General features: G+C 47.4%; 1 protein-coding gene and 1 pseudogene across 2 annotated transcripts, besides 5 other annotated features; one reads left to right on the forward strand and one right to left on the reverse strand.

Moving 5' to 3' along the window:
* Positions 1-372: 372 nt before the first annotated feature.
* On the reverse strand, positions 373-18043 carry WFDC3 (WAP four-disulfide core domain 3). 2 transcript variants are annotated; one of them, NM_080614.2, is made up of 7 exons: positions 17992-18043; positions 16054-16142; positions 15091-15219; positions 13996-14142; positions 3235-3369; positions 1577-1762; positions 373-604 (listed from the first exon to the last, which is right to left on the reverse strand). In NM_080614.2, exons 2-7 carry the CDS (start codon positions 16133-16135, stop codon positions 588-590), a joined length of 696 nt encoding a protein of 231 aa, NP_542181.1. In that variant the 5' UTR covers positions 16136-16142; positions 17992-18043; the 3' UTR covers positions 373-587. The 2 variants fall into 2 exon arrangements, with proteins under 2 accessions (NP_542181.1, XP_011526855.1); XM_011528553.3 differs by having other exon boundaries at positions 17867-18043.
* Positions 1737-1906: an enhancer, noted in NCBI's record as "experimental_60389 CRE fragment used in MPRA reporter constructs". NCBI's record gives its function as "activates a minimal promoter by MPRAs in K562 erythroleukemia cells, with activity observed for both the introgressed and non-introgressed 20:44404301 variant alleles {active_cell/tissue: K562}" and the evidence as "EXISTENCE:reporter gene assay evidence [ECO:0000049][PMID:34662402]".
* Positions 4110-4404: an enhancer, noted in NCBI's record as "tiled region #12827; HepG2 Activating non-DNase unmatched - State 21:Repr, and K562 Activating DNase matched - State 8:EnhW". NCBI's record gives its function as "activates a minimal TATA promoter and a strong SV40 promoter by Sharpr-MPRA in HepG2 and K562 cells {active_cell/tissue: HepG2 | K562}" and the evidence as "EXISTENCE:reporter gene assay evidence [ECO:0000049][PMID:27701403]".
* On the forward strand, positions 4858-4982 carry RNU6ATAC38P (RNA, U6atac small nuclear 38, pseudogene; annotated as a pseudogene).
* Positions 6100-6600: an enhancer, noted in NCBI's record as "H3K4me1 hESC enhancer chr20:44408579-44409079 (GRCh37/hg19 assembly coordinates)". NCBI's record gives its function as "activates a minimal SCP1, AML or CMV promoter by ChIP-STARR-seq in naive H9 embryonic stem cells {active_cell/tissue: H9 hESC(naive)}" and the evidence as "EXISTENCE:reporter gene assay evidence [ECO:0000049][PMID:30033119]".
* Positions 7450-7744: a silencer, noted in NCBI's record as "tiled region #6194; HepG2 Repressive non-DNase unmatched - State 20:ReprD, and K562 Repressive non-DNase unmatched - State 23:Low". NCBI's record gives its function as "represses a minimal TATA promoter and a strong SV40 promoter by Sharpr-MPRA in HepG2 and K562 cells {active_cell/tissue: HepG2 | K562}" and the evidence as "EXISTENCE:reporter gene assay evidence [ECO:0000049][PMID:27701403]".
* Positions 10003-10172: an enhancer, noted in NCBI's record as "experimental_60411 CRE fragment used in MPRA reporter constructs". NCBI's record gives its function as "activates a minimal promoter by MPRAs in K562 erythroleukemia cells, with activity observed for both the introgressed and non-introgressed 20:44412567 variant alleles {active_cell/tissue: K562}" and the evidence as "EXISTENCE:reporter gene assay evidence [ECO:0000049][PMID:34662402]".

Consider the following 18110-nt stretch of genomic DNA (forward strand, 5'->3'; position numbering starts at 1 on the left):
CAGCAGGTCTAAAAGAGACTGACCTCCACCCCCACCAGGGCTTGAGAAAGACATCTATGGCAAGTCACTCTCAGTTTAGTTTCCACCCTCAACCCACATTCTCCAATAAAAGAAAGAAGGTCAGCAGGTCTAAAAGAGACTGACCTCCACCCCCACCAGGGCTTGAGAAAGACATCTATGGCAAGTCACTCTCAGTTTAGTTTCCACCCATCTCTTCCCTAGCCACACCCAACCAAAACCCATTTTCAGTGTCCTCACAAAGAATGGATTACCCATCTGTCCTAAATATGTAAATCGTACAATCCCACAGGCACACACATACCCTCTAGCTCTCCCATATCATCTGAGCCCTCAAATAGCACAAACAAGAGGTCAGCACCAGCCTTTATCGGGAAAGAGAAGCACCACACACCCACTACCCAATCCAGGGCTATTTCCCATGCTCTGGTCAGCGGCAGGAGGAGAAGCAGAGCAGAGAGGGCCATGAGTGCCCCTGGAAATGTCACAAGCCCCAGGATGTCACCCTCTCTTGACTGCCAGGAAAAGCTTCCAGAATTACCAAAGAAGCTCCAGACAAATCAGCACAGCTAGGGCACCGGGATCTCTGCAAGTAGAAGAAACATCAAGTCACAGCTGTGCCCTCCTGGCTTCAGCTACCTGAAATGTTTTCCCTCCACCCTAGGAAAGCTTGGCCTATATTGCTCTCAAAAGTCTTAAATAGCTCCTTGCTTCCCAGACAATCCAATCCAAACTGGCACTGAAGGCTCTTATTATTCAGATGTCAACCTTGTATCTCCTGTTATAAAAAACTGGAATTATGGTCGGGCACAGTGGCTCATGCCTGTAATCCCAGCACTTTGGGAGGCCAAGGTGGGTGGATAACCTGAGATCAGGAGCTCGAGACCAGACCTGGCCAACATGGTGAAACACTGTCTCTACTAAAAATACAAAAATCAGCTAGGTATGATGGCAGGCGCCTGTAAATCCCAGCCTTGGGAGGCTGAGGCAGGAGAATTGCTTGAATCCAGGAGGCAGAGGTTGCAGTGAGTCGAGATTGTGCCATTGCACTCCAGCCTGGGTGACAAGAGTGAAACTCCATCTCAAAAAAAAAAAAAAAAAAACTGGAGATACGTCTGTTCCTTTACCCACCCTGCCCCCACTCCTCACCTCCCAAACATATCCCACACATTCCCACCCTGTGTTCCTTTGCCAGCAATCACCAGATTGCCTATCTGGCATGTCCCTGTGCTATCCTCCCTTTGTCGCATCTGCCTAGCCTTAAGCACCTCAATCAAATCCCACCTCTCCCACAGAGACCTTCCCAGGGAGCCACACCTGGGAACAGGTGTAAGCCTGTACTGTTTATATGAGGGTTCTCATCTGGGACACAGGTTTGCCACACCTGAGAACAGGTGTAAGCCTGTACTGTTTGTATGAGGGTTTTCATCTGGGACATAGGTTCTTTCTCTCCAACTAGACTTTTCCTGACCTTCTGAAGTCCCCTTCCCAGCACCTAAGCCAGTGCTTTGCACATAGCAGTTGTCTGTTATTGTTGATGACAATGGACTGTACTCACCTAATTCGGAATCAGACCTCACAGTCCAGTTGGGGTTCATGGTCAGTTTTGGGGGCAGGACTGGTGGGACACAGAAGCGGCCACAGCCTGACTTGCAACATTTTTCTCCAGCTTGACAATTCTCATCCATCACACAGCCAACAATGCACAGGCCCACCAGAACTTTTGGACAATCACCGCCCCGCCCTGTGGGAACAACAGGCACAGGAAAAGGGACAGGGCATCAGCTCTGCCATCTCCATGTTCCCATCGTGAACTTACACACAGAGGCTCTAGGTCAATCAACCCCTGACCCTCACTAGACCCAACTAAACTGGCTGGGAAACCATGGCGCTGGAGGATCTCAGAATCTTTAGGAACCCAAGAGACCTCTGAGCCCAGAGTTTTCAAATGGTGCCCCAAAGGGAGTTCCCAAGAGGTAACTCAGGGATTGACACCTCTGCAGGTTTGGGGTGGGGGTGGGTGAAGTGTGGCAGGGGCAAGCCTCCCAGACCACTCCCCCTCCCCCTATGCTCTGGATTCATAGTGTCACTTCTTCACGGTGGCCTCCTCTGCCACCCTAGACAAGGTTTGATGTCCCTGCTTTGTGCTCCTGTAGCACCCTGTATGCTTCCTCTCATCAAACTTTATCATAATCCCTTATTTAAAAGGAATATGTCTATCTTGCCTGATGGGCTATAAGCTACATACGGACAAGAGTCTGTCCTCAGCCTTGAGCACTGCCTGGGAATCTAAAGGGACTAAGATAGCACAAGGGTCAATGATTCTTTAATGGAGATCCACAGTGCCTGGCACTCAAAAATATTTGTTTTTTTAAAATGTTGAAGAAAAAAAGGCATTGGAACAGGAATGCTTTTATCTCTGTGTGTGTGTGTGTGTGTGTGTGTGTGTGTGTGTGTGTGTGTTTCCAGCTGGGCGTGGTGGCTCACGCCTGTAATTCCAGCACTTTGGGAGGCCGAGACAGGCAGATCACGAGGTCAGGAGTTCAAGACCAGCCTGGTCAACATGATGAAAACCCATCTCTACTAAAAATACAAAAATTAGCTGGGCATGGTGGCGTGTGCCTGTAATCCCAGCTACTCAGGAGGCTGAGGCAGAAGAAACCCCAGAGGCAGAGGTTTCAGTGAGCCAAGATCACGCCACTACACTCTAGCCTGGGGTACAGACCAAGACTCTGTCTCAAAAAAAAAAAAAAAGAAAAAAAAGAAAAAAAAAAAAAATATATATATATATATATATATATATGTGTGTGTGTGTTTCCAACTAAGATTTCATTTGGGGCAGGGGAGAAGCTTTTTGTTAAAAATTAGATCTGAAAATCAGGATCTTGGGCAACTCCTTCATTTTACAGATAAAGAAATTTGGGCTCAAAAAGACGGGTTTGCTTACCTAAGGTCACAAAGCAAAACCTCAGCAGAATCAAGACCAAAAGCCACACTGTCTGTCTTCCAGCCCAAGTAGTTCCTACTGCCCCACAGTGCCTTCCCCCAGTTCTTTTAATGTCGACAGGGCCCCTCGGCCCTAGAAGAATGGGTTGCTTTGGGTTGGGGGACCAGAGGGACAGGAAGGATGAGAATCCTAGCTCCTCCCAGGAAGGGAAAGAGAAGCACTCTTCTCAGGAAACACTCAAGGATTTCTTCCCAAAAGAGCCAACATACCTCCCTCAATGTCTCCGAGGCAGGTGCGGCCACAGCCGGTGCTGCAGCATTTATGCCCCTGGGGACAGGATGCATCCCCATCACACAGCTCCTCACACGGAAGGGGGTCAGCGGGACATTCACCACCAAACTCTGCTACATAATCAAAGCATTGGAGCCCAGAGACGCTCACAATATGAAACACATTTTTCATTGTGTCCCATGTGTATGTTTATATATAGTTATATATTTATATACATATATAATGTAAATATTTATGTGTATCATGTATCTGCAATACATCTGATTTTTTTTAAGACAGGGTCTCACTGTGTTGCCCAGGCCAAAGTGCAGTGGCATAATCATAGCTCACTGCAGCCTCAAACTCCTGCATTCAAGGGATCCTCCCACCTCAGCCTCCTGAGTGGCTAGAACTACAGGCACATGCCATCATGCCTGGCTTATTTATTTATTTATTTTGTAGAGACAGGGTCTCACTGTATCACCCAGGCTAAAGTACAGTGGCACAATCATAGCTCATTGCAGCCTGAAACTCCTGTGCTCAAGGGATCCTCCCACCACAGCCTCCTGAGTACCTGGGACTAGAGGCACAAGCCACCAGGCCTGGGTAATTTTATTTATTTATTTTGTAGAGACAGAGTCTCACTATGTTCCCTAGGCTGATATCAAACTCCTGGCTCAAGTGATCCTCCCGCCTGAGCCTCCCAAAGTGCCAGGATTACAGGCGTGAGCCCCCCCACCCAGCCCACCCTGATATTTTATATTCTAGTTCTTATTTTTCCTAATTACTAAATTGCTTTCAGGACTCACAGTTTGAAAAACACTGTTCAGGTCTAACCCACTGTGGCCAACATTCTCCCTGAATTCTCCCTGTGGCAGACATTTACAATGGTGGCCTCCAGTGAACTTTACCTCCTGGGATTCAGGCCCTTTTGTAGTCCCCTTCCATACCTACTCTGGGTTTGACCATCTGACTTGCTTTGACCAATGGGACATTAGCAAATGTAATGTAAGCAGAGCCTTGATAAGCACTAGCATACTGGGGCTTGTCCACTCAGAATACTTCCTCTTGGAAACCAGCCGCCATGCTATAAAGCAGCTTGAACTACGCTATGGGATGATGAGATGCCCCATGGAGACAGAACCTAGAAGAGAGGTCATCCTGGACGTTGTGGCTCCAGTTGAGCTCCCTGCTAAGCTCCCAGATGAATGCAGCTAAATGAATGACCACAGCTACATCATGTGGGTATATGAACTGCCCAGCCAAGCTCAGGCAACCTACACAACTGTGAGAAAGAGTAACTATATTGCTTTAAGTCATGAAGTTTGGAGATGGTTTCTTATGCAGCAATAGATACTGGATACCAAGTTTATTCTGAGAGGCAACAGGTCCAGCTAAAATGATTTGTTTCCCCATACTCTCTTGCAACAAGGGGTGACCACAAACTAGGACATAAACTGGGAAACTTTTGTATTCCTGACACAGGGAATACCCCTTTCAAACTGCTCCCTCACTTCTTTCTTCTTCCAGTCCAAAGATAGACATTACACAGAGAGGCAGAGTAGCCTTCTTTCAATGAGGAGGCAACTCAGCATAACGAAATGGTCAAGAATTGCAAAGAGGTGTTGTATGAAAGGAGAGAAGGTTAGCACTCCCCTCGACAAGGATGGAAGAGGCCTTTGGGCCTGACAACATGCATATGGTTCAAGCATTGCCACCTACTTTGTGGCATCTAACCATCGTCTTTTAAAATAAATAAATAATAAAATGTAAATGTAAAAAAAAAAAAAGAATTGCAAAGGAGAAAGAGGGAAATAGTTTCATCCTTGTTAGCATCATGGAGCCACCATCCCAGCCTCAGGAATTCTTGTTATATGAGAAAAACAAACCCCTATATGATTAATTTTCTGTTGTGTGCAGCCAAACACATTTCCTATGAAAATAAACTCAGAGAAGAATCTTGCCCAGAACTACAGAGTGAGTCAGCAGCAAGGCAGGACAACACTCAGCCTCTTGATTTGCGGTAAAGTACTTTTTCTACTACACTATCCTTAAAACATGCAGGCAACTGGCCAGGGCCCCAGGCGCAGGCACACCCAAAGAAGGCCACATCCAAACCAAACCAATTCACCATGACTCATTCATCTTAGTGTTTATTTCAAGCTTCTTAAGTAAAGAGAAAGGTGACAGGCAATTAAAGATTTCGCAGAAAACCAAAGCAAGACTGGCCCAGTGCCTCTGAGTAGGAACAGGTAAGTATGATTGCATACAGCTGGCTCTGGGAAGTCTGCCATGATGGAAAAAGCAAGTATTGGAATCCAAGGAGAATACATGCAGCTAAACAACCCAGGCGTAGTAACCCTGTATCCTGAGATTTTCCTGAACAGCCCCTATTTCAAATATCCTGTGCTACTGTGAGATCACATCAAAACTATGTGTCCTGATTTTTGACTCAGAAAATGTGGTCACTGTAACCACCAAATGCATCTCCCTGCACCTCCCCACCTGCTTGACAAACACTGAAATCCATTTAACAAGGAACAAAAGCCTTCTATCTCACAGCTGAGAAGGCTGGGAGTAAAAATCTCCCTGGTGGAAAAACCCGGTGACATAAACATCTCATAAAATTATGCCATGTGCCCTAGAAACTGGGAGTGCCATACGTCCCAGATTTCACCATTTTGCTGAGCTTGACCTTGAGATGACCAATGCCAGGAGCTCTCTGCTACTCTCTGCCCTCGTCCTCAAGACCAGGCATGGAGCACTTACCTCTACCCTTTTCCAGGCCAGGCTTCCTGGAGGCCCAGAGGGTCACAGCACCTCGCTTTTGACCAGTGCCCAGCAATGCCACCCAGTCTGACACCCTGCCTTATATGAATCCCTGCCACGTGATCCCTTTCTCTCAGCTCTAACACCTGGAATTAATGGGGCCTCACTACCTCCAAGCCAGATTATGCTATCCTACTTAAGCTAGACAGCCTTTATACCTTTTTTTTTTTTTTTTTTTTTTTGAGACAGGGTCTCGCTTTGTCACCCAGGCTGGGGTGCAGTGCCGCAATGGTGGCTTACTGCAGCCTCAAACTCTTGAACTCCTGGGCTCAAGCAATCCTCCAACCTCAGCCTCCTGAGTAGCTGAACTATAGGCACACACTACCAGGCCCAGCTAATTATTTTTATTTTTTATAGAGACAGGGTCTCACTATGTTGACTAGGCTTGTTTTGACCTTCTGGCCTCAAGCAATCCTCCCGCCTCAGCCTCCCAAAGTGCTGACGTCACAGGCATGAGTTACCATGCCTGGCCCTTTGTACCTCTTTATACTGACCTGAAATCTGGCTGGGCCTTTTCCTATCCCCAGAGACCTTACAAAAACCTGGCGGATGCCATTCTTTCAGGCAGGATCCTCTGTCTTTCACGATCCTGGCTTTGCCATGCTAGGTAAGGTCAGTTCCTCATAAGACATGCTCCCTAATCACCTCACAATTAGCTTACCAGGAATCAGGAAGAGAAATAGGAACAGTAGCCAGAATGGGGATGACGGTTCCCCACCCTCTATCAGCACCCATCCCAAGACTCTAAGCTATCACCAAAAAAGGAGTGAAGCTGAAGCCCAGGAAATACTCACTCACAGTCTGTCCTGCTGCCTCAGCTCCAACCTGCCACTATGTCTGAGAGAAAGATGCCAGTTGTTGTTGGAAAAGTAAAATTTCAGCACTTCTTAACCCAAGAAGGGCCCTCTGAGCTAACAAACTTACTCCCCTTCTCTTGTAAATAGAGAGACAGACAACTAGAGAGAGGGATTGGCCTGAGGTCAATGGTAGCAGAACTGAGTCACAAATCCCCAGCTCTGATATAAGGTCTCATGCCCTTTAAACCACATCATGGGCCTGGCTCAGTGGCTCATGCCTGTAATCCCAGCACTTTGGGAGGCCAAGGTGGGTGAAACACTTGAGGTCAGGAGTTCAAAACCAATCTGGCCAACATGTTGAAACCCTGTCTCTACTAAAAATACAAAAAAAAAAAAAAAAAGCCGGGTGTGGTGATGGGTGCCTGTAATCCCAGCTACTGGGGAGGCTGAGGCAGGAGAATTGCTTGAACCTGGGAGGCAGAGGTTGCAGTGAGCCGAGATCACACCACTGCACTCCATCCTGGGTGACAGAGCGAGACTCCATCTCAAACACACACATAGACACACACACACACACATCATCATGATCCCCTACACTGCAGCAAGGATCACACAAAAACCAAGAAGCACTGGGACTCACTCTGCCCAGTTCCACCAAAAGAGAAGATCCAGTGGTAGATAGTTTTAGAGGTTAGGAAAAGTTATCCACCAGTGTGTAGGCAGTCCTCAAGACCACTTACTTCCAGGTTCAGTGATTCATTAGCAGGACTCAGCGTATAGTCATACCCATGGCTATGATTTATTACAGCAAAAGGATACAAAGAAAAATCATCAAAGGGAAAAGTCCAGAGGAAATCAGGTGCTGATTTTCAAGAGTCCTCCCGGTAGAGTCACAGGATGCACTTAATTCTTCCAGCATGGAATTATGACATGTGTGAAGTGTTTTCTACCAGGGAAACTCATTAGACACTCACTGTGAAAGTTCTCTACTGGGGGCTGGTCACTTAGGCACCCTCTGCCTAGCACGTACCAAGATTCCAGACTCTCAGAAGGAAAGCAGATGTTCAGCCTAAACCACAATGTTTACACAAACAGTTTAGGCACAGTGAACCACTCTTATCAGTTAGAGTAGTACAAATACCCACAAAATCCAAGTTCCCAGAAGCCAGCCAAGGCCCAGCCTTGCCAGCAAGCCTTTTTAAGAAGAGCGGTCTCAGGCTTGTTATGTTAACTCTTTTCTGTACAACCTGCAGTGAGGTTTTAGAAAAGGGTCAGCCAGACACCCAGGGAGGCCATGCCATCAGCCCACGTAAAAGATAATACATATATGTTAATAAGCAAAACAGAGGGTCACAGGGGATCTGGAGTGGTCAGGTTTCATACAGTGGGGAGGTGAGCCATGAGGAGGCCCAAGAAGACAACTGTCAGGCCAGAATCAGAATCTTCACTCCAAAACCTCTTCCCCCAGGTTGTCCCTGTCTCAGTAAAGAACACCACCATCACCCAACTGCTCAAGCTGAATATCTACCACCCTTCTTGATACCCCGTCTCCCTCAATGCCTGCAGCCACTTACTTGTTCACCCAGTCCCATTAATTCTACCTTCACAAACATGTAAGCCTTCCATTTTTCTTTTTCATTGTTATTGGTTTTTTGGGGGCTTTTTTGTTTTGGATTTTTTTTTTCTTTTTTTTGAGATGGAGTTTCGCTCTTGTTGCCCAGGCTGGAGTGCAGTGGTGCGATCTCGGCTCTCTGCAACCTCCACCTCCTAGGTTCAAGCGATTCTCCTGCCTCAGCCTCCCGAGTAGCTGGGATTACAGACGCCCACCATCATGCCCGGCTAATTTTTGTATTTTTAGTAGAGATGGGGTTTCACCATGTTGGCCAGGCTGGTCTCAAACTCCTGACCTCGTGATCTGCCCGCATTGGCCTCCCAAAGTGCTGGGATTACAGGCATCAGCCACTGCGTTCGGCCGCCTTCCATTTTTCTATGTCTGCAGTATCTCCAACCCAGTCTAAGCCCCGATCATCTCTCCCAGCCTGCCACAATAGCCTCCTAACTGGTCTTCCATCTTCTACACTTGCCCCCATCCATTCTTCATATACTGGCAGAGTGGTCTTTTTAAAATGAAAACTGGACAAGGCCTCTCCTGCTTTTAAACCCCCTCAAAGGCTTCCTATTGCACTTAGAATAAAGCCTAAGAGAGAAGCCCTGAAGACCCCCGAAAGTCTGGGCCCTGCCTACCTCTCCAACCTCAAATGAAAGCAGCCTCCTTCTCTCTTCTTCCTTTACCTTCAAAGCACTCATGACTCATCATCATCTTGGGGTTATTATGTATTTGTTTTCTTGATTATTTCCTGTCTGTCACACTATATGAGCAAGCCCCAGGGTGGCAAGGACCACGGCTGCCTTCCTCACCACTGCAGACCCACATGCCAGGTAGGGTAGCCACACTCAATATACAGTGAATACATGAATAAGTGGGTGAGTAAACGGATAGGTCAGGCATCAGATAGGTGGGGAGGCAGAGAAGGGGCGGACCAGAACACAGAGGTACTTGGCATGACCATATGAGCTCTCTTGAGCATTATCTGGCAGGTTTACTGCAGACTTTTTTAAATGCATTTCTGGCCGGACACAGTGGTTTGTGCCTGTAGTCCCAGTTTCTCAGGGAACTAAGGCAGAAGGATCACCTGAGCCCAGGAGGTTGAGGCTGCAGTGGGCTGAGATCACACCACTGCACTCCAGCCTGGGTGATAGAGTGAGACCTTGTCCCAGATAAATAAATAAATAAAATGCATTTCTTCTCAACTGCATTATCACTCTGGGAGCTAAACATCCTTATCCCCATTTTACAGATAATAAAAGTGAGATTCAGAGAAATGAAGGGACTTGCCCAAGGCCACACAGCAAGCAAGCAGAAGAGCCAGGATTCAGACCCATGTTCAGACTAGAACAGTGTCATGAGAGCAGGACCCAATGTCTGCCCTTGCCCTCAGGCAACCTGACTGAACCTCCACTTTGCCAAACAGACCAGCGCTGGCTATGGTAAACCTCTGGCAATGTCAGAGCTTAAGGAAAGCGAAATTTTTCATAGCCCTGGAAGGAGAGCTTCCTGTAGAGTTGGGTATAGCAACCAGTCCTGTTGGGTGAGTAGCCTAGCCCTCCCCTAGGGCTGGAGCTATACAAAAGTAGTTAACTACCAATGCAGTAGCCAGTATCACCTCCCACCAGGCTAGGAACCCCGCTCAGCCCAGCAGGCTCTGGGACATCTGCGGGAGATCACTATTCTAGCCTGCCTGCCAAGCTCCAGTGGAAAAGGAAGCCCTATCTGGGCTGGCCAGGGGCCAGAGCAGCTCACAAAGGTACTGTGCCTGGGTGCCAGCCTCGCCCTTAGCCCCTACAATTCAGCCCTCAGCTTCAAACACTGGGAAGATTGTACCAAGCCCTACATGCCAGCAGTCAGTGACCTGCCTGAGACAGATTCCCAGGCTGGTTCCAGAGCTGGGCCTCAAGAGTCCTGGCAAGGAGAACAACCTTCCATTCTCTCTAATGGGCAGGCTGCCCAAGATAGCTGCCTAAGCCGGGCACAGACAGACCCAATGGGTACCAGCAAGGGGCCTCCTACCTGGAGAGGTTTGACTGGAAGGAAAAAGGTTGTCACATGTTACAGGGCTTCAGGTTCTGAGAGGAAGTGATCAGGGAAGAAGAAAACCATCCTGGTTTTGAATAAAGGGGCTGGTGAGAAATTGTACTCCTGCTGGGCATGGTGGCTCACACCTGTAATCCCAGCACTTTGGGAGGCCAAGGCCGGTGGATCACCTGAAGTCAGGAGTTTGAGACCAGCCTGACCAACATGCTGAAAAGCCGTCTCTACTAAATACAAAAAATTAGCTGAGCATAGTGGCACATGCCTATAATCCCAGCTACTTGGGAGGCTGAGGCAGGAGAATCGCTTGAACCTGGGAGGTGGAGATTGCAGTGAGCCGAGACTGCACCACTGCACTCCAGCCTGGGCAACAATAGCGAAACTCAGTCTCAAAAAAAAGAAATTGTACTTCTGACCCAGGCCACTTAGGAGGCAAGAGGAAGGAAGTTAATATATACTGAGGGCAAAACACTTTACATAATTTGAATAATTACAACAAGCCTTCGAGGTTTATTCTTCCCACCTTACAGAGAAGGGAACTAAGGCTCAAAATTACTTGCCCAGGGACCTGCTGGCCAGTAACTGGCAAACCTCAGGCTTGAACCCAGGACTCCGACAACCCAAACCTAGGATTTTCCACTCTAACATCCACCACATGCACTCAGATAAGAGAATGATTCCAGTTCCTTTAGAAAACATAATGAGAAATATTCAAAACAGCAGAGAAGAAAATAAAATACCTAGGCATAAATTTATGGAGAAATATTTTAACACTATAAAACACCCTGAAATATGCAAAATACACTTGATCAACAGGGAAGGCATAGGATTCAACATAGGCCAGGCACAGTGGCTCATGCCTGTAATCCCAGCATTTTGGGAGCCAAGGTGGGCAGATCACCTGAGGTCAGGAGTTCGAGATCAGCCTGACCAACATGGCAAAACCCCATCTCTTCTAAAAATACAAAAATTAGCTGAGCATGGTGGCACACGCCTGCAATCCCAGCTACTCAGGAGGCTGACGCACAAGAATGACTTGAATGTGGGAGCAGAGGTTGCAGTGAGCCAAGATCACGCCACTGTACTCCTGCCTGGGCGACAGCCTGTCTCAAAAAAAAAAAAAAAAAAGAACATTTCAGTACCATAAAACAGGGTAAGAAAAAAAAAAGATTCAACATTATAATAACAGCAGTTCTCCTTAAGCTAATTTAATTTATATATCTAACATCACTCCAGTGAACGTAGTCTTGGTATTTGGGAATGATGGAAGAAAAATAGATAATATTATAATAAAATATATTTGGAAGCACAAATAAGCAAAAGTAGCCATGAAAATCGTGAAACAAGAGGAAAATAGGAAGGGGTTAGACATAGAAGACATGCCATCAATTTCTAATATGTTTTAGGGGCCTCTCAAGGGAATGGAGAAGGAATAGAGCAGAGAGCCCTGTCACTTCTACCTCCAAATTTTCTCAACTATGTCACCTTTCTCCATCCCCGCTGCTACCTCCCTAGTCTCACGGGTCTACATCCTCATCTGCCTTCATTCTCTCCCTCCCATTTCTACTCTAACCGTACTAGCTTTCTTTCCATTTCTCAAATGTGGCAAGCTCCTAGTCATCTTAAGGCCTCTGTGTGTGCTTCTCTCTCTCCCTGGAATGTCCATCGCACCCTTCACCTGGCTAACTTCAAATCGCTCTCCAGGTTGCAGCTTAAATGTCACTCCACACATGCCATCCTCAACCACCCAAACCAATGTGAGTTCTCAGCCGGGCACGGTGGCTCACGCCAGCCCTTGGGAGGCCAAGGCAGGTGGATCACTTGAGGCCAGGAGTGTGAGACCAACCCAGCCAACATGGTGAGACCCCATCTCTCCTAAAAATACAAAAATTAGCCAGGTGGGGTGGCATGTGCCTGTAATCCCAGCTACTCGGGAGGCTGAGGCAGGAGAATTGCTTGAGCCCAGAAGGTAGGTGGAGGTTGTAGTGAAACAAGATCGTGCCACTGCACTCCAGCCTGAGCAACAGAGCAAGACTGTCAAAAAAATAAAAACAAAAATAAAAGTGAGTTCTCCGCTTTACTCTGTCTCTCAGCACCCTTTAATTTTCCTTCCCTGTCCTTATCAGAGTTTGAAATTATATATTTATTTACATGCTTATTTGTTAAACCTCTTTCTCTGCCATGAGACTATGAGCTCCATGAAAGCGGGCATGGGATCTACCGTATTTTCCACAATATACCAGGAGCCCGTCACTGGATCTCGCAAACAGTACACATTCAATAAATACTTGTTGAAGAAATGAATGCATAAATGGATAATTAGGTCACTGGGACTCTGCAAAAGGGAGAATGAATCTCTTTCAAATACCTCTCTACCAGGACCAGAATGAAAAAGAATCTGTTTCCCACAGGAGACAGCCCCGCCGTGTGTGTACATAGGGAACATAAGAATCTCAGGAGCAGGCCAGGCATGGTGGCTCACGCCTGTAATCCCAGTACTTTGGGAGGCTGAGGTGGGTGGATCACGAGGTCAGGAGATTGAGACCATCCTGGCTAACATGACGAAAACCCGTCTCTACTAAAAATACAAAAAATTAGCCGGGTGTGGTGGCACATGCCTGTAGTCCCAGATAATAGGGAGGCTGAGGCAGGAGAATTGCTTGAACCTGGGAGGCAGAGGTTGCAGTGAGCCAAGATCACACCACTGCACTCTAGCCTGGGAGACAGAGCAAGACTCTCTCTCAAAAAAAAAAAAAAAAAAAAAAAAAGAATCTCGGGAGCAAATGAGTGGGGAAATGTGTGCCACCTTCCATAGGCATCAAGATTCTTTTTTTTTTTTCTGTCTCTGCAGATTCTCAGGATAAGATTTTTTAACAGAGAATATTGCAACTGATTATGGGAACTGGGAATTACCCAGTGGTTTTCTTTTTTCTTTTTTTTTTTTTTTTTTTTTTTTTTGAGACAGAGTCTCGCTCTGTCACCCAGGCTGGAGTGCAGTGGCATAATCTCGGCCCACTGCAAGCTCCGCCTTCTGGGTTCACGCCATTCTCCTGCTTCAGCCTCCTAAGTAGCTGGGACTACAGGCACCCGCCACCACGCCCGGCTACTTTTTTTGTATTTTTAGTAGAGACGGAGTTTCGCCGTGTTAGCCAGGATGGTCTCGATCTCCTGACCTCGTGATCCGCCCGCCTTGGCCTCCCAAAGTGCTGGGATTCCAGGCATGAGCCACCACACCTGGCTACTCAACCGTTTTCAAAGCAGTCTGCAAATGAGGGTAAGTTGAGGCTGCCCTTCTGGCACCCTCCCTCTGCCTGCCCAGGCTACATACCACAAATGATTATGGCTTGTGCACCCTTTGTATATCTTTTTTTTTTAAGGTCTTAGAATATAGCAGCAAAGTAAAACCAACAAGCTGATATGTGCATATTTGAGAAATAAACAAGCAGACCAAACAGACCATGAGGTGTGGGGACAGCGTTTCTTACCCAGCTTCTGTTTAGAGATTGGGACTACACAGCTCTTGTTGCAGCCAAGCGTGCAGCATTTCTTTACACCTGGACATGTCTCATCAGTGATGCACCTTTTCAAACAGGATTGTTTCCGAATAACCCTAGGGCAATCTCTTTTCCTCCCTGTAGCAAAAAGGGAGACAGCAAAGAAAAGAGAAAATAGGCCGAGCGCCATGGCTCACACCTGTAATCCCAGCACTTTGGGAGGCCAAGGCGGGTGGATCACCTGAGGTAGGGAGTTCGAGAACAGCCTGGCCAACATGGAGAAACCCCATCTCTACTAAAAATACAAAATTAGTCGGGGGTGGTGGCACATGCCTGTAAATCCCAGCTACTTGGGAGGCTGAGGCAGGAGAATCACTTGAACCCGGGAGGCAGAGGTTGCGGTGAGCCGAGATCACGCCACTGCATTCTAGTCTGAGCAACAAGAGCGAAACTCCGTCTCAAAAAAAAAAGAGAGAGAGAGAGAGAAAATAGTGCCTGGCAACACCCACGGGCACAGCAGAAGGGAAAAACAGAAAAAGGAAGTCCTGAGATTTATTTAAGCCTCTCAACCCTGGTGCTAAGACAAAGAGACAATAATAACAACAATAGTAATAGCAAATATTTACTGTAACATTTACTGACGTTTACCTTGTGCCATGAACATCTTATTTGATCCTCACAATTATCCCCATTTTATAGATGAGGAAACTGAGGCTAAAAGCTTAAGATTTATAAAGAGCTAAGGCTTAAGGCTTAAAAAGGTCTGCTTGGCTCTAGGGTCTACTCTCTTAATCATTATCTTACACAGCCTTCCCTTTACAACTCTTCCCTCCAGCCTTCACAGGAACTTTGAGTCCAAAGTAAAAGACATAGATAATCAATGGTGCGCTCTTTCCTGATGGAAGGCAAACAACTGGGGGCACTGAATAATTAAAGGAGGAGGGACCCTAAAAGAGTAAAGAAGAAGTACTCTAGGCAAGGGAGACTTCCAGAGGCAACCTAGAAGGTGGGAAGCTCTCTACTTCCATCTATCCCAGAGGCAATGTCAGAGAGTATGCCCAGATTTTGCCCCTCATGCCAACATACCCTTAGGAATGTCTCGGCAGATCCGACCACAGCCTGTGGTGCAGCACTTCTGTTCAGCCGGACACAATTCATCACCCTGGCACAGCTCTTTGCATGGGTTCTTATGGGGAGGGCATTCTCCCTCTTTTGCTGCAAAAGATACTATTTGAGTTTGGGGTAACTAGCCAGGCCTCAGAAATGGGGAATGGACCTTCAGCCCCTCCAGGCATCTCTATCCAAAATATTTCTGCACCACTGCACTCTAGCCTGGGTGACAGAATGAGACCCTGTCTCTTAAAAAAAAAAAAAAATTCTGGCTGGGCACGATAGCTCATGCCTGTAATCCCAGCACTTTGGGAGGCCGAGGCGGGCGGATCATGAGGTCAGGAGATCGAGATCATCCTGGCTAACACAGTGAAACCCCATCTCTACTAAAAATACAAAAAATTAGCTGGGCGTGGCGGCGGGCACCTGTAGTCCCAGCTACTCGGGAGGCTGAGGCAGGAGAATGGCGTGAACCTGGGAGGTGGAGTTTGCAGTGAGCTGAGATCACGCCACTGCACTCCAGCCTGGGTGACAGAGTGAGACTCCATCTCAAAAAAAAAAAAAAAATTCTGCAACCACCTTCCCCTCCTCATACACAAATACTAACATATATCCACCACTGCTAAAGGAGCAGCCATCCTGCAGATAACGAGAGAGAAAGGGTGGGATGATCCTGTTCTCATTTAATGAGTTCTAGGGAAAAGCTAGAACCTCTAGTAAGCCCAACTGGAAGTCCTATCTCCTTGTCCAGAGAGGGTAAAGAAAGCCAGGAAGAATGACCCAGGCCATCCTGAGAATCTATTCATCCAGTCCTGTCCTATAGAGATGATCATCTCCACTTACAAGCAACCTTGCTCTGGGAGAAGGCAGGGGATGAGTTCTCCTCTCCTCTAGTCACTTTCTGTTACTGTTGGCCAGGGATCCCAAATGATAGCTCACCATGTTCTCCTGCAGTTATCCAGGATTCCAGAGACCCAAGAGCAAGAAGTGCCTTCAGAAGAAAGAGGCAGCTTAACATCATGATGATGCTGAGAGTTGGGACAAGAGCTCAGTTCAGGCTAGAGGTGTACACCTTGCCCAGAGTATCAGCTGAGGTATGAGCAGGACTAGGGATGGCCCCAAACCCAGTCCCAAAACCTTCCCTTTCACAATACTCCCCAAGAATATCTTCTCCTGACAAGAAGAAGAGGGATTGGCTGCTGGAGTGTGGGAAAATTCCTGGCACTACCAAAGGGGACCTGTGATGGGAGGATCAAATTCTGTAAGCAATATACACAATATTCCTGGATGATGAGAAACCTAGTGGGTGGCTGGAAAAATGGAGGGGTGGCCATTGGAAAAAGAATCAAAGAGAGCCCTAAAGGGCATTGGAAGGACATGGCTTTAGCCCAAATAACAGAGGGAGGGATTCACGACACTACTTAATGGCCAAAGCTAATAACATAACCAAGCATAATAAAATTGTGGCTCCTGTTCATCCTAGCAACCAAGAAAATACAGAATGGAACAGACCACTCAGAAACTATCAAATAGGCCAAGGCGGGCAGATCACCTGAGGTCAGGAGTTTGAGACCAGCCTGGCCAACATGGCGAAACCCTGTCTCTACTAAAAATACAAAAATCAGCTGGGCATGCTGGTGCATGCCTGTAATCCCAGCTACGTGGGAGGCTGAGGCAGGAGAATAGCTTGAACCCAGGAGGCAGAGGTTGCAGTGAGTGGAGATCATGCCACTGCACTCCAGCTTGGGTAACAGAGTGAGACTCTGTCTCAAAAAAAAAAAAAAGAGAGAAAAGAAACTATCAAAAACCTACAGAAAAGCAGTAGTTGAGTTTGTTAAGAACTAATGAAAAGCACCAAACACCTACATCTTTGTCCCTCTAACCCACACAGGCCATTCTTGGACTGTATGAAGTCTAGCTGGCAGAACCCAAGAGAAGTTGCTATGTATGACTCAAATAGTCTGCCCACATATACCTCCTTTATTTCTTTTTTCTCCATTTCTTTTTTTCTTTATCTGTCCTGGTCATGCCTTTGGTTAGCTGTGATACCTAATGGTGTCCACTGGCACTGCTTAGTCCTATGGGCAGGTACAAGGTAAAACCTCCTTAATAGGATCAAAAAGTTTGGAGCCAGGAAGTCGCCCTTATGGTTAGAAGGCTGATGTTGGCTCATGGAGATAATTAACATTTGATGATGACCTCATATGTGCCTAATATGCTTTTTTTTTTTTTTTTTTTTTTTTTTTTGAGACAGAGTCTCCCTCTGTCCCCCAGGCTGGAATGCAGTGGCGCGATCTCGGCATAATTAACATTTGATGATGACCTAACATGTGCCTAATGTGCTTTTTTTTTTTTTTTTTTTGAGACAGTCTCCCTCTGTCGCCCAGGCTGGAGTGCAGTGGCGTGATCTCGGCTCACTGCAACCTCCGCCTCCTGGGTTCAAGAGACTCTCCTGCCTCAGCCTCCCGAGTAGCTGGGATTACAGGTGCCCACCACCACGCCCGGCTAATTTTTATATTTTTAGTAGAGACGGGGTTTCGCCATGTTGGCCAGGCTGGTCTCGAACTCCTGATGGCAAGTGATCCTCCCGCCTCGGCCTCCCAAAGTGCTGGGATTACAGGCGTGAGCCACCGCCCCTGGCCGAGCATATTAAAATCTAGTTTTCAAAAACTGAACTGCAGGCGCCGCTGTACCAAACGCTTCCCTCTGCTCCCCAACCCCAGCCTACAGAAAACTGGTCCCTTCCTCCTACCCCGCAGTCATCCCCAGGCCTTGGCCCAGCGGGAAACATCCCTTGACTGAACCGCCACTGAACACCCACACTGCACAATCGAGGCGCAGCCCTCCCGAGAGGAAGCCCCAACGACCTCCACCTACAAGGCCTCTAAGTGTAACTGTCCTGGGCGAGGCGCGGCGGTTCGGTTCCCATGGTAACCCCGCAGCTCCAGCGTCGCGCTTCCGGGCGGACGAGCAGCGCGCTCCAGTGACGTCACGGC

This window comes from Homo sapiens, chromosome 20, assembly GCF_000001405.40.
Source record: "Homo sapiens chromosome 20, GRCh38.p14 Primary Assembly".
In the NCBI taxonomy this organism is placed as follows: Eukaryota; Metazoa; Chordata; class Mammalia; order Primates; family Hominidae; genus Homo; species Homo sapiens.